A 14,809-nucleotide genomic window follows, 5' to 3' on the forward strand; every position below is an offset into this window, starting at 1 on the left:
AATGATCCTCCTACTTCAGCCTCCCATGTAGTAACTGGGATTACAGGCACGAGCCACCTTACCCAGCTAATTTTTTTTGCATTTTTGTTGAGACAGGGTCTTGCTGCATGCCCAGGCTGGTCTAGAACACCTGAGCTCAAGTGATCTTCCCTCCTCAGCCCCCCAAAGTACTGAGATTATAGGCATGAGCCATCCTGCCTAGCCAAGACTTGAGTTTTATTCAAAGCTACGAAGACTTTGGAGTTCAGCTTTATTATAGAACAGTCAAGTTTGCTTTAGTTTGTCTAGATTTTGATACCTTCTTTGGAATTTCCATTTGTGGCCATGTTAATAAGTATGCTCAAGTGATATATAAAGATAAATTGGCCCATGGAAAAAAGTCAGCCTCCTCCAAATGTATTAGGGATGATTATTTAAAAGACATTCCTCAGGGGACCTTGAGGTAGCCATGTTTTTCCATGGGCCTGTAAAGAAAGAAGAAACAAAACCTTGTTGCTTACCCGGAGTTCAAAATCTCAGAAATGCTGGCCACAGAAGTCCCCTGATTTATTTATTTAGAGACAGGGTCTCGCTCTGTCACCGTGGCTGGAGTGCAGTGGCGAGATCTTGGCCCACTGCAACCTCTGCCTACCAGGTTTAAGCAATTCTCCTGCCTCAGCCTCTCGAGTAGCTGGAATTACAGGTGTCCACCACCATGCCCAGCTAATTTTTGTATTTTTAGTAGAGGCGGGGTTTTGCTGTGTTGCCCAGGCTGATCTTGAACTCCTGAGCTCAAGTGATCCACCCTCCTTGGCCTCCCAAAGTGCTGGGAGGCTGAGCCAGAAGTCCCTTTCTTTTAATAAAGTTTAAATAAAGTCCCAAGAAGAAACTCTTGGCACAAAAGGATATACTGTATTCTTGGACCCAACTTTATAAGAATCTTCCAGCTTGCAGCACAAAGGCAGCCCAGTCCTCAATGAAAATTTAAAGGGAGCCTGACAGATTTATGTGAGAGCAATGTCCATTTAAACCATTTAAACAACAATATGAATGTTGTGCAAAGTGTAGCTCCCATTTCATTGAGAGAAGAGGAAATAATTAAGACGGGGCAAAGGAAACACTGAGGAGTTGTTTGTGTCTGGCCATGCTGCTTTCAGTTATCTACTGCTAAGTGTGTCTTATTTACTTCATCTTTTTTTTTTTTTTCACTGATGCAGAATTTTGCAAGAGTAAAGATGCAAGTAACCATGTCCCTGGCATCTTTGGTGGGAAGAGCACCAGACTTTAATGAAGAGCACCTGAGAAGATCCTTGAGGACAATTTTGGCCTATTCAGAAGAGGACACAGCCATGCAGATGACTCCTTTTCCCACCCAGGTACACCGAAGCACATACCTTGTCTCATGCATGAGTTTGGGATCTGCCAACTATTGTGTATGTATGTATGTACATATATACACAATTTATATATAAATATATAACATTTGCAAGTATTTATTGTCCAATATGCATGTGCTCTCAGCACTCTGAGAGGTTTTAAAAAGAAATACATCCATCACTGTCCCCAGTCTCAATATGCTAACAGTCTATTTGGAGTGCTCAGTCTCAAAACAATTAGGAGGCAGTACAAGACAAGTGATACATAAGTGCAAACTGTGTGGTAAGGAGCTAAATGCTATGGAAGGTTAGAGGAAGAGAGGTCGTGATCAATAAACAATCTGGTGGCCAGGAAAGCCTGCAGGGAGGGATGACACTAAAGGCTGGGGTAGGATTCCGCTAGGCAGGGGAAAAGTGAGGGGGAAATTGTGAGTAGTTGAAACAATGAATTGTTTGTATCTGTAGGGATGGTAAAGGGACCAGCTTGTCTGGTGAGGGGTAAGGAAGGGCCGAGTTTGAGAGAGCTTGTAAACAAGGTTGTCCTAAGGAAATGTGTAAGGACAGTCATCTCTTCCATGTCCATTACGATGACCGTGGAACTCTAGCCTGTCCCATTTGTCTTTTAACTCCAGCTCCTAGCCTGCTCTATGGTAGGGTCTTAATTAAGTGAGAATGAATGAATGAATGTTTTCTTTTATTCCCTTAGTCTGAGAACCCTATTTCCGGAGTCTGTTTTGCCCTCTCGGGCAATGTTGCATCCTCATTCTCAGAATCTTTTTCCTCTCCTCTACATCAAATCGTTCCTCTCTCATTTCATCTTGACCATACTCCTTTAGTTCCATCATTTATATAGAGGTATTCACCAACAAGACCAATCAAACTATGGGCAGTTTAATAAAGGTCTTCAGTGCCTTCACCCAATGAAATGACTCTAGTGGTAGAAATTTTAGGAGCCCTGGCAAGCTGGCAGAGGGGAACGGGGATAAGACAACATTCTGTGGCTGAGTTACCTGCCAGGGTCTCTAGATCAAGCCATAGTCTCTCCCTGTTTTTGTACTGCAGGCTCCCCTGGACCTCCACTGTTGGTTTTATAATTAAGAATAAATGATTACAAGAGGTTCTAAAATCTCTGAAGCCCTGGGAAGATCCAGGAGGCTTCTGAGACATGGAACTCAAGCTGAGGTCCTAAGCTGCTTCCTACTTGGTATAAAAATCCCTGATATTCCAGAGTAGAGTTTAGAACTTTTCAGGTTACAAATAACTGAAACTGGTTCAAACTAATTTAAACAAAAATGTTGGAGATAGAGATAGTATGAGGATTCAGGCAGATTTCTGGATCTCAAGGGCCAACACACATCCAGGTCTCATAAACTCCTGGGCTGGCGAAGATGAAAACTACAGAGTCAGGTCTAGATGACTCCGCCATCCCTAGTCTCTGCTGCCCTCTGATCCAACCCTTCCCATGGCTTCCCCTTGCATTTCAATGTAATCCTAACTCTTCACCTGGGACTACAAAGCTAAGATTATTTTGAGGCTTACACTTTTTGCAGGTGGAGGAACTTCTCTGTAATCTGAATAGCATCTTATATGACACAGTGAAAATGAGGGAATTTCAGGAAGATCCTGAGATGCTTATGGATCTCATGTACAGGTAAGCTTTCCTGACACACTCAAGGGACACCATTTGGGGGTCGAGGATTTGTCACTGTGGAGTTCTTACTAATGTAATGATCACAGCTAACATGGATATAGTGATTTGGATGATAGCCAAATAATATATAGAAATTAAACATTCAGAGTAGGTTAATTCATATGTAAGTTTTCAGAAGGATCTCCCTAATTTAAAGTGAGGCATAATAATGTTATTAAATATAATAACATTATTAAATATAATAACACTATCTTCTACTTACCACAGAATCAGAGAAAGAATAATTAACTGTTATAGGAATTATTTTCCATATGCTTTTGTTCCAATTATATTCAGACATACATATATAGTTTTACTTTAGAAATCATTTTTTACGCGTAGTTTAAAAGTTGGTCTTCCAGTCCTTGTTCAGGAGAAATTACTTACAGAGGCAAAATTGTTCTGATGCAACATCATACAAAGGGCAGTACTTTTGTCTTCTGTTTTATTTTGAGAGAAAGGAAAGAAAAGGCAGAAATTTGCCTGAGAGCCATTAAAATAGACATCATGTTATCAGGTATTTTTTCCCCATAAGGCTTTTACTAAGTACTATTTCTTGGAGGTCAGCACAGCTTAAACATGGAATAAAAATAGTTGGACTAATAAATGTTTTCTTCTGTCTCGTTTTCTGGAAATATAGGGCAAAATCTCAGGTGGAGGGGTACAGGGAACTCTTGGGGAGAAAAAAAGAAAAGGTCACACAAAGTAGAAGAACAGTGTCATTAACCCACTGTCCTCAAAACTACTTCTCACTCAATCTGTCTTCAGAATTGCCAAGAGTTACCAGGCATCTCCTGATCTGCGGCTGACCTGGCTCCAGAACATGGCAGAGAAACACACCAAGAAGAAGTGCTACACGGAGGCTGCCATGTGCCTGGTGCACGCCGCTGCGTTAGTGGCTGAGTATCTGAGCATGCTGGAGGACCACAGCTACCTGCCCGTGGGCAGTGTCAGCTTCCAGGTAGGGTGTGTGCAGCTTTTCCCTTAGAGCAGTGGTTCTCAACTGGGGCGATTTTGTCCCCCAGCCCCAGGGACATTTGGCAATGTCTAGATACATTTTTGGTTATCACAACTGGGATGGGTGAGTAGGTGCTACTGGCATCTGACTGGTAGAAGCCAGGATGCTGTGAAACATTCTGCAATAGGAGAGCTCCCCTGACAAAGAATTGTCTGGCCCCAAATGTCTGTAGTGCTAAGGTTGAAAAATTCCAAGTTCATACATTACATTTGCTTCTTCTAATTGCTTTCCCATCGTCGTTGGGTTTTTTTTAAATTACTGTTTACAATAATGGCACCTAGCCATTATTAATAGCACTTTAGGAGACATTTGCAAACACTTTCACATGCATGGCTTCATTTGAACCTCCCCGTAAAGCTGTGAGGCAGGTAGGTAGGGAAGGCGGTTATTATTCCCACTTCGCGGATGAGAGAACTGAGAGAGCAAGTTTTCTAAGGTCACTTAAACTCTTTTTCAAAGACTTGTAGTTGACACAGTATACTGACATTGTGAAAGTTTGGAAAACATTGGATAAATGATTTTCCTCCTGGCCCATTCATTTGATTCCACTCTTCAACTTTATAGGGGCCCACTCTCCAATCCAAAAATCAAGAAAGAATCAAATTGACCTGAGAAGGGAGACAAAAGGCTGAATCAGTACCTTCTTAGGATAAGCTGAAAATTACCCACATTTGGCAAAGGGAAATTGTCTGCCAGACCTAAAAGCTGGCTCGGATGGGGATGCTCAGTGGCCACTTAAAGTGTTCTTACTGAATAGTTTAATAGTCTTTAGAGAGAGAGAAAATAAAAAAGCACAATGTTGGGTACTTTTTTTGTAAGAGACATAGTTTGTAGAGATGACCATCCCTGAAACCATGAACAATATAGCTACAGTAATAGAGTGTTTTTCAAGCCAGACTCACGAAGTCATTTACAAGGGTTTGTATTATTCTTGTTTGAATTTACATGGCTGATTTTATGAAAAGCTTTGTTCTTGTTATTGTTCTTCAACACAATTTTGTGATGTTGTATGAACCAGAAAGAAAGAACAATTCAAAGTAGCTTCCCCAGGCTTAGAGAATAAGTCACTGAAACTATGCTGGTGCAGCCAAGAGCTTCTGGTTTTCCAGAACACAGCAAAGCTGGGTATTGCCTCCTATGAATAACTCCTCCTTTCTTATGGTCCTCAAGAACAAAAATAGTCATTCTGTGATTTCATGCTTGGCAAATGAATTTTCTTCTTAATTCAGAAATGTTTGTTATAAAAGCTGATAATTAAATCTCATCCAAAAGCATAAAAATAACACCTGATTTCAAATCACATAGAAGTGTACAAGAAAGTTATAAAAGTTATTTTAGATGTATTTGCTTCTTTTCTCAAATTTATTTTGACCATGTGATACTATCAAAAATAAATATTATAGTACTACTCTTTCAATTCCCAGGAAATTGTAAGGTTTAGCACTTCATATTGTTTCATTTACTAAATTATTTTATACTTCTTTTATTCCTTTTCCCATGACTATATTTTATTTTATATTTATCACTTAAATATCAATTGCATTTCATTATTGACTTTTATATTTAGTAAGCCTTACTGTTCTAATTTTACCTAGAATTCAGTTGATTTGCTAATAATGACATGCCAAAGTGAATCATTATTACACAATCAACAGAAATATTCCACATTATTCCGACATGGGGGCATACAGCTCTATCTGTTCACATATATTTATCCATTGATTCCTTCTTTTAGAGAATATTTATTGAATACTTATTCTGTCCTCATGAACGTTACATTCTAACCAGAGAGACGTAATATAACTAATTATTCCAATCTTTGTTCAGTTATAATTATGAGAAATACTGTTATAAAGAGGCACAAGATATTGTGAGCATTTATGGTCCAGGCCCTGTGGGTCAGGGAAGGGTGAAGAAGGTGAAAAGGAAGGCAGAAGAAACTGAAGTGTGAGGGCTTCTTGATGTAGAGGAGGCAATGAGTTAGGTGTTGTCAGCTACAGAAGAGAAGCCAAATTATATTAATGTGTATGAGTGAATTCTTACTTCTCTCAAATGGGACATACCAAATCAATTTGGAAATGTAGCTGGCAAGTGAAAGGACACCCAACCCAGACTGACAGAAGGTAAAAATGGAATTTATCAGCCCGTCTGAGGAATGTGAGCCTGGAGTAGCACCTGCCATACTGGACCTAGGGGCCCAAACAATGTCAGCAGAGCTCACTGTCATCACCACTTCCCATCTCTGCCATCTGTTGTGTCAGCTTCATTCTTCACAGGCTTCCCACACCACAGTTTAGGTTTACATCTCTAGGTTCAAGTCTAGGAGAGAAGAGAGATGCCTCCTTTCTAGCAGTTGCAGAGAAAGCCTCAGTGCATCTTACTGATCCTGTCTGAACATCTGATCCTGTGCTCATCCCTGAACCAGCCATACTGGCCAGAGAAATGGAGTGCTCTGATTTACTGACCCCGGGTCATGGGTCCACACCTGGAATTATGGGTGATTTCTTCCCCTAAATCAGGATGCCTTACTTTATAGAAGGAGGAAAGAATTCTAGACAGCATTAACAACAGATGTCCAGTGTTGATTTTGCAAATGCTCTGTGCTTTAATTTTCAACCTTGTTCTGCTCCAATGAAATAGAGCTTTTGGAAAAGATTTATAAACTAGAGATAAATAAATATGTGCAAGGAAAATAACTTTGAGGTCACTGAATTCCAGGAAACTGAGATCACTGAAATTCTGTGTCCCAGAGTGCAATATTTATTTCACAACTGTAGATACGGACACATTCTTAGATACTGCTGTTACTTGTACCTCCCTGATCCTGAAGCCAAGAAAGTCTGCAGAATCCTTTTCCTCTGACTACAGCTAATGAGGCTACATAGCTTCAAATCTGTTCCTCTAATGTGGAAAATTGCATACATTCTAATAGTATTAGTATCTTGGGTTATTAAATGCTTTCAACTGAATTTCTTGGATCTTCTGTTGTCACAGAAACATCATAATACATAGGGCAGGTTTGGAAGAAAGACTGGCCACAAAGGCTTTGAGAGCCTCCTCCTATATTCCTAAAACTACGTTACAGTATTGCATGTGAAGAGATAGGGCTATCTATGACAACTATGTCCTGACTGATTGCTAAGGTTGATTCACATGATCTTGCTAACCAGGCCAGAAGGCAGACAGCTTTTAGTTCACAAGCCAACTCTGATCAGTTAGTAGTGGCTGACTGGAGAACTATGCTTAAGAATTTCGAGACTATGTCCAAGCTCTGGGGAAAAAGTGCTACAGTTGATTAGTTATGCCTGCCATGATTACAGCAATAGGAAGGAGTGGCATGTGTGCCACCTGTTTGTAATCCCTAAACTGGGAAGGTTTCCCATTTCTTCTGTTTTTCATATGCATTTCTTCCATAGCTGTGAGCTAGGAAGAAAATGATTCTTGACCTGTCACATATTCACTGCCAGGGCCAGTGCTAGGGTGAAGAGGCACTCACCCTCAGGGTCGAGCGGGTACAAGATCAGTACTTCCATGGCCCTAAAAGCGAGTACCTCTCTAAATTTTGTCTTGGGTTTCTCATTTGGTTCACCCCAACCATGGTCTCTGCATGCTCTGCTAGAGGCTCTAAACGCAATAGTTTATGTAAAGGAAACAAATGCATGGAAACAAAATGTTCAGGAAGAACAAAAACACACACACAGTAACTGCTGCAATGCCATGAAAACTTCCTTAATGAAGACAGCCTCGCTTGCTGTTGTCGTATGTCATGGCTGTTTATCTGAGTCAACTCCAGAGTAGCAACATACTTCAGAAAAACACCACTGTAAGTCAGAGGTCCACTCGGTGAAACAGGGAGCCTAGTTAATGTTAATTGGGTCTTTGCCTTTTGAAAACCAGGACACCAGCCCTATGTCCCTTAGGGTTGTTTCACTAAAGTAACTCAGCTGTTGTGACATTGAGGTAAGTGTCCTTTATACAAAATCTCCTAATGGTTAAAAAGAAAAACGTGAGGTTTGAAGACCAGTTGCTCAGTGCGCCTCTTCTAAATGAATGGCAGACAGATACTCTCGGGGTAGAATTACAGACCTAGTTTAGTCACGGTCTTGGTAAGGATCTGCACACCAGCTTCCTCGTTTCCCCATTCGGGGTTCCTGTGGTCTCTTACTAGTCTGGTCGCCCTGTTCTCCAGGCTTATACTGTGGTCTCTTTCAGAATATTTCTTCCAATGTGCTGGAGGAGTCTGTGGTCTCTGAGGACACCCTGTCACCTGACGAGGATGGGGTGTGCGCAGGCCAGTACTTCACCGAGAGTGGCCTGGTAGGCCTCCTGGAGCAGGCCGCGGAGCTCTTCAGCACGGTCAGTGCCCAGAGGGCATCCCGGGGCCTGGCCTCCCATACTCCAGCTGGACTTGGGGTGCTGGGAACACCTGGTCTTAATGGCCCAGTCAGCCCCACTTCCCGAGGACACGTGCCAGGGTGTGCGGGGCAGGGGATGGGCCCGGGGAGGACTTTGATGTATGCAAATTGCATGAGCTTCCCAAGGGAGCTGAGATAACCTTTCATCACAGTGCCGATCTGAGCTTCACTGTATGCTCATTGGTTGGGCAGCAGTTTCACAGTATTATTTCTATTTAATAGGGGTGGAACTAAGCCACAGAGAGGTGAAATGGCCTGCCCAGGGTTACACAATAAATGATGAGGCATGTTTTCACTCCCTCGTTTTTCCTCTCAGAGAGAAAAAAATTAGGGAGGAACCACTGGGAGGAGAGAGGAGGAATACACAGACAGTGTCTTCCCTCCTAGCCACTGTGCAGTCTGAAGGACCATCACAGACCAGGACCAGCTTACAGAAATGTGGGCACAGAAACCACTGAGACTCCTCTGGTTAACGTAATCTGGATCTAAACACTCCTAGTATATATACTAGAAAAATATATAGAGAGATGAAGTCATTGAGATTCAGGGCAAAGAGGAAACACTCTTGTCTATTTTCTTTTCTTTTTTTGAGACAGAGTCTAGCTCTGTCGCCCAGGCTGGAATGCAGTGGTGCAATCATGGCTCACTGCAGCCTCTACCTCCAGGGTTCAAGCAACTCTCCTGCCTCAGCCTCATGAGTAGCTGGGATTACAGGTGTGCACCACCACACTCGGCCAATTTTTTGTATTTTTAGAGGAGACAGGATTTCACCCTGTTGGCCAGGCTGGTCTCAAACTCCTGGCCTCAAGTGATCTGCCCATCTTGGCCTCCCAAAGTGCTGGAACTACAGGTGTGAGCCACCACGCCCAACTTGTTTTCATTTTAATAATCTCCCTCCTCCTTTACATTTTAAGCCAAGAAAGTATTCAGTACTTTACTATATTTAGCTGACCCAATTTTGTTTTCATCTATACTATACTCATCCTTATTTTCCAGTTTTTATTTCCAAGTTTCCTCTCTACAATTTTATTTATTTTAATTATTGTTTTAACTGTCTTCTCTCTATTCTTGCTTTCCTTTTCAAGATTCAGAAAATGTCTAATATACTCTCATTTTTCCTCAAACTCAACAAAATGAATTAGAATCCTACTAACTCTTTGGAGGCATACATTTAGCATCTGGCTAGAGGAGGACCTCTGATGAAATTTAAATATACTAAAACTGCCTTTCTGAATTGCTGTTAGTCCCTGCTACCAAACTTCTCTCCTGTTTTTTCTTTTCGTTTTGTTTTGTTTTTGTTTTTGTTTTTGAGGCAGCGTCTTGCCTTGTCACCCAGGCTGGAGTGCAGTGATGCAGCCTTGGCTCACTACAGCCTTGACCTCCTGGGCTCAGCCTCCCACCTCAACCGCCCAAGTAGCTGAGGCTACAGGAGCATGCTACCACACCTGGCTGATTTTTTAATTTTTTTGCAGAGATGGGGTCTCCCTATGGTGTCTAGGATGATCTGAACTTCTGGGTTCAAGTGATCCTCCTGCCTCAGCCTCCCAAAGTGCTGGGATTACAGGCATGAGCCACTGCACTCAGCCAGTATTTTTTTTTCCCCCGAAAGCTCTTCTCCTTACTTATCGCCATACAGGACTACTTAGCGAGGTGTCTAGTTCAGTTTGAAGGCTACCACTGTCCCAAAAGTGCTCAGATACCCCTTCTTGCCCTGTGAAATACTGTGATACAACAATAAATTCACTCTCCAGCACATTGTTTGGACAATGACCTCTGGTTGCTCTTCTTAAGTTTCCAGTGGATTAAATTCTCTCTGATGCTCTTCTCCTCTTTCCAAGGGAGGCTTATATGAGACAGTTAATGAGGTCTACAAGCTGGTCATCCCCATCCTAGAAGCGCATCGAGAATTCCGGAAGCTGACACTCACTCACAGCAAGCTGCAGAGAGCCTTCGACAGCATCGTTAACAAGGTAGCCGGGGAGCCTGGCTGGCAGGTCTTGTTACCTGGTGGCAGGCGACCCTGTCCTACAGATGCTTAGCCATCCTTCCTCTCCAGGGAGTGATTTATCTTTAGCACATTGCTTTTGCTCTCACCTGTCAAACAGAAAAGGGCTGAAATTCTTCTAACAGAGGACCAAAATTCCATATGTGAAAACATACAGCTTAAATTACTTTATAACCAGGAAATGTGAGAAATTTTTAAGTGTAATTAAAAGAAGTCCCAGAAATCTTTCATGGGATTCCTTTTGTTGTTATTTCTGAAGTTTATTCCATAAGCATTAAATTTTTTTAAGGAGTAATTTCTGTTTACATCAGCCATAGGAGTAAAATGCTTTGTTAACACAATGAGAGACCCCTGCCCTTTGCAACTCAGTGGCTCCTCAGGATGACATAACTAAGGAGAGCTTTTTATATTTTGTTCCTCAGGATCATAAGAGAATGTTTGGAACCTACTTCCGAGTTGGTTTCTTTGGATCCAAATTTGGGGATTTGGATGAACAGGAGTTTGTCTACAAAGAGCCTGCAATTACCAAGCTTCCTGAGATCTCACATAGACTAGAGGTAAGAAAAGTGATTCTGTGCGCCTGACCTGGTACACTTTACAAAAACAAGTTAGAGTGGGTCATCACCAAAAATAAACAAATAAAGAGTTATGGATTCATCATTGATCTCTACATAAAGTTTTCCCCTTTGCATTTATAAAAGGCAAAGTAGAAAGGTATTAGGTGAGATCATGAGGTGATGTAATATTTTGATAGTTTTTCCCTAATACTCTGTGTATGCTTTTCACAGTTTGGAATTTTATATGGTGAATATTTATTTTGAAGTCTGTGCAAAATTCAATCAAGGTCATGTGCTTTCTTATCACCCTTTCCAAATATTAGTAGTTTATACTAGTAGATAGAGAGTAGTAGAGTTTTTCAACATGAAGTTTAGCATCTTGACTTTGAAGTAATCTAGCCAAATGACTGAATCACCCCTAGATAATGGTGAGGCCATCCTTTAGGTATCACTGGATGGCACCTGGGGTCCTTCTGATGTGGAGCTACTCAGCTGTGGCCAGCCCGGCTCCAACCTGCCAGTGAGTGACATTTGGTCCATAATACAACAGAAAAGTGTAGCATGTTGTTAGAAGCAAAGCTGAAAGCATGGAGAAAAAGAGAAACAGCCTAGAGAAAGGTCAGGACAAAAGAAACACAGGTTATAAGGGCCAAACACTAAGAACTCAGTCAAAGGTGCCTCCCCGATGGGATTTGGATGAACAGGAATTTGTTTACAAAGAGCCTGCAATTACCAAGCAGGACTGGGGTCCTTTGAACTGCTCACAATTAACCAAAGATTCACTCCTTAGGCTTTCATTGCTTTGAATTTGTGCCCTCCTATGAGTGTAAAACTTAAAACATTTGTGTTGCCTAATGGCTTCGTACACTCTCCATCCATGCCAAAAAAGACAAGAGGGTTTATCCTTACTTGACTCAAAGAAGCCATTGCCCAGGGTGGCTGGGTGAGTTGCCCCAAAATTGTTTAGCACATGAGAAAAAGAGCTAGCAATTGACCCCAGTCCACTTGGTTCCCTATATTGTTTCCCCTACTTAGAATTAGAGGTATATATTTTATCTTCTTGTGCACTGTGATTTGCCACAATATGGGAAGGCTGGTGACTTCCAAGTTCCCAGGGTACAGAAGGCGAGAAGTAAAGAGTGTGATACCCCAGGAGATACCTCAGCAAATATAATGATGTTAGCTGAATTAGAGGCCAAGCATACATCTTATAGGGAAGCATATACCAGTTGACAGTGCTATTTTTATTTTTGTCTTAGGAAATGCTGAACTTTGCTCATTAGCTCAGAGGAACTCTCAATAATCAGTGAACATCATTCTACCTTGCACTTGCTCCAAACTTATTTCACTTCCAAGAAGACAAAGAGTTGCATTATGTTAAAATAACCTTTATAAACTGTTGGTTCTTCTTACCTAGGCATTTTATGGTCAATGTTTTGGTGCAGAATTTGTGGAAGTGATTAAAGACTCCACTCCTGTGGACAAAACCAAGTTGGATCCTAACAAGGTATACAAAAATTTACAAAAACTAACCATCAAGCTCTAAATCCCTTCGTTCTCTACCCAAGAATACCTAATGATCTCATCTATCTGGACTCTCCAAGTCACTTAAATGCAGTCAAACCTTTTCGTCTAGAGTTCAACTACTAATTGGTCAGATCTTAAAGAAAATATAGTCAAAGGCAGGAATCATAATAGGAGCTACCACTTATTAAGCACCAACTGTGTACCTGGAACTGCATTAGGCCCTCTACATACATCATTTTATTTCATCCTGCAACGACCCCTGGAAGTAGATTTTGTCATTCCTATTTTAGAGATGAGAAAACTGAGACATGGAAGAGTCAAGCAAGTTTCAAGGTCATGCAAGCAGCAGAGCCAGTACTCAGACTTGAGGTCTGTTGCTTCTGAACCCCTACTCTTCAGCACTGCTCTTTACTGCCTTTTTATAAAACCTTTAAACTCTCCATTTCAAACTCGACAACACTTAGTGGCTTCCTTCTTTAGGCTGCAAGTATTCCTTCCATCCAAGTCCGGGATCACTGTGCTGTTGGGGGAATGGTAAAAACGGCTTGGGTTTGGGTTTCCTCACTTTCACAAGAGGGTATGTTCCATTTCACCCCAAAATGGGTGTACAGTTCTGATGCTAACACGTGGAGGTGGTATCAGCTCCCACAGGGTAAAGGCTCAGTCCTCCTCAAGACTGCCCTGACTTCAGATGCCAGCTTCAAGAGGGACCCCCAGGCCAGCCACGCTTCTGATCAGCCAGCTACAAATTTGGGAGTTTCTATAACCTGTTAGCTTGAAAATAGGAGAAAACAAAGCAAATAATAATAATAATAATAATAATAATAATTTGGGAGTTTCTATGATACCTGTTAGATTAAATAATTCACTACAATGACTCACAGAATTCCAAAAAGTACTCTGGTTACTATCAGAGTATTATGATAAAGGGTGAACATCTTTTTGTGCCTTTATTTATGGCTTCCTGGCTCATCAGTGTGTTCTCCAACCAGGAAGCTCCGCCAAGTCTCAGTGTCCAGAGATTTTGTTGGGGTTTCATTATGTAGGCAAATTGAATACAGTCTCCAGCCCCTCTCCTGTCTCCAGAGGTCATCCAGTTCCTACCCTGTAATCACAGAATTGGTCTTTTTGGTGGCCACTTGGCATCCTGAAGCTATCCAGGGGCCCAGCATGAGTCACCTCATTAGCATCACAAAGACACCCATCACTGAGGAAATTCTAAGTGTTTCTAAAGCTCTGTGCTAGGAAATGGAGACAAAGACCAGACATATTCTTTATTATACCACAAGCTGATGCTGCCCACTCAGCCCAACTCACATGTCCATGAATGAGCTTTCTAAGTTACTGGAAATAGTGCAAGTGCAAGGTATCATTAAGGGCCCTGGGACAGAGGACCATTCACCATCTAGCAAACCTATAAAATGAAAGGTCCAAACTCCCAGTTCCATCTTCCAGGATATGAAGAAGATAATGGAAGAGGGGAAGAATTGGCCAAATTGAAGAGTTTGTTTTTCTACATTTTTCAGAATGCTTTCTCACTTAAGACACATTCCCTAGCCTCGGCTTGAAAGCAGTGGCTGTGGTAAGAGTTTAACTAATCTTCAGACACACATGTCTGGGAGATGGAGTTGGCCGTGTGCCCACAGTGATCTGTACATAGCACAAGCTGTGTAAAATGTGACCTCCCTCAGCCAAGGTGCCCTTTTCCCCTCTTTTAAAATTCCCAGGGTAGGTTGTGAGAGTTTGGAATGAGAGTCTGAACCCAGAGTTACAACCAGATTTCATTATACTAAGTCGTGATTTACAGTCTGAGGTCAGTGACCCCACTCATCCCTTTCAGTGGGTGAGTGTCCCAGCATCTGAACTCATGGTCACTTTTTTTCCTAAGAGATTGTCGTCTTTAATGAGTACTTATTCGCTCTGTGTTTGAGGGTGGAGGTGATGTGAGTGTGTGTTTAAATGAGGCCTAGGCAGTAAAATTCAGTTTTGGTGTTTAGTTCTATGAGTTTTGACAAACACATGTGACTACCTTCATAACCAAGATATAGAACAGATCCACCACTCCAAAATACTTCCCGTGCCCATTGGTAGTCCATGTTGCAATAGTTCCTTCCTTTCCGTTGCTGAGTAGTATTCTGTTGTGTGACTACCTCACCATTTGCTTGTTAATTCCCCACTGGAGTGACATTTGGGTTGTTTCTAGTCTTTGTTATGAATAAAGTTGCTGGAGACATTTGTGTAC

General features: G+C 41.7%; 1 protein-coding gene across 17 annotated transcripts in view, besides 1 other annotated feature; it reads left to right on the forward strand.

The window, feature by feature from the left end:
- Nucleotides 1-14,809, forward strand: part of DOCK8 (dedicator of cytokinesis 8) — a 253,999-nt gene that overhangs the window by 219,713 nt on the left and 19,477 nt on the right. For all 17 annotated transcript variants that reach the window (XM_017015173.2, XM_047423927.1, XM_011518045.4 and 14 more), the window contains 7 exons: nt 1,197-1,355; nt 2,906-3,006; nt 3,814-4,006; nt 8,276-8,419; nt 10,317-10,448; nt 10,906-11,040; nt 12,458-12,547. In XM_017015173.2, the coding sequence (XP_016870662.1) occupies nt 1,197-1,355; nt 2,906-3,006; nt 3,814-4,006; nt 8,276-8,419; nt 10,317-10,448; nt 10,906-11,040; nt 12,458-12,547 (954 nt within the window). The remainder of the gene's footprint in view (nt 1-1,196; nt 1,356-2,905; nt 3,007-3,813; nt 4,007-8,275; nt 8,420-10,316; nt 10,449-10,905; nt 11,041-12,457; nt 12,548-14,809) is intronic.
- Nucleotides 13,465-14,024: an enhancer, noted in NCBI's record as "OCT4-NANOG hESC enhancer chr9:444434-444993 (GRCh37/hg19 assembly coordinates)". NCBI's record gives its function as "activates a minimal SCP1, AML or CMV promoter by ChIP-STARR-seq in naive H9 embryonic stem cells {active_cell/tissue: H9 hESC(naive)}" and the evidence as "EXISTENCE:reporter gene assay evidence [ECO:0000049][PMID:30033119]".

This window comes from Homo sapiens, chromosome 9, assembly GCF_000001405.40.
Source record: "Homo sapiens chromosome 9, GRCh38.p14 Primary Assembly".
NCBI lineage: Eukaryota > Metazoa > Chordata > Mammalia > Primates > Hominidae > Homo > Homo sapiens.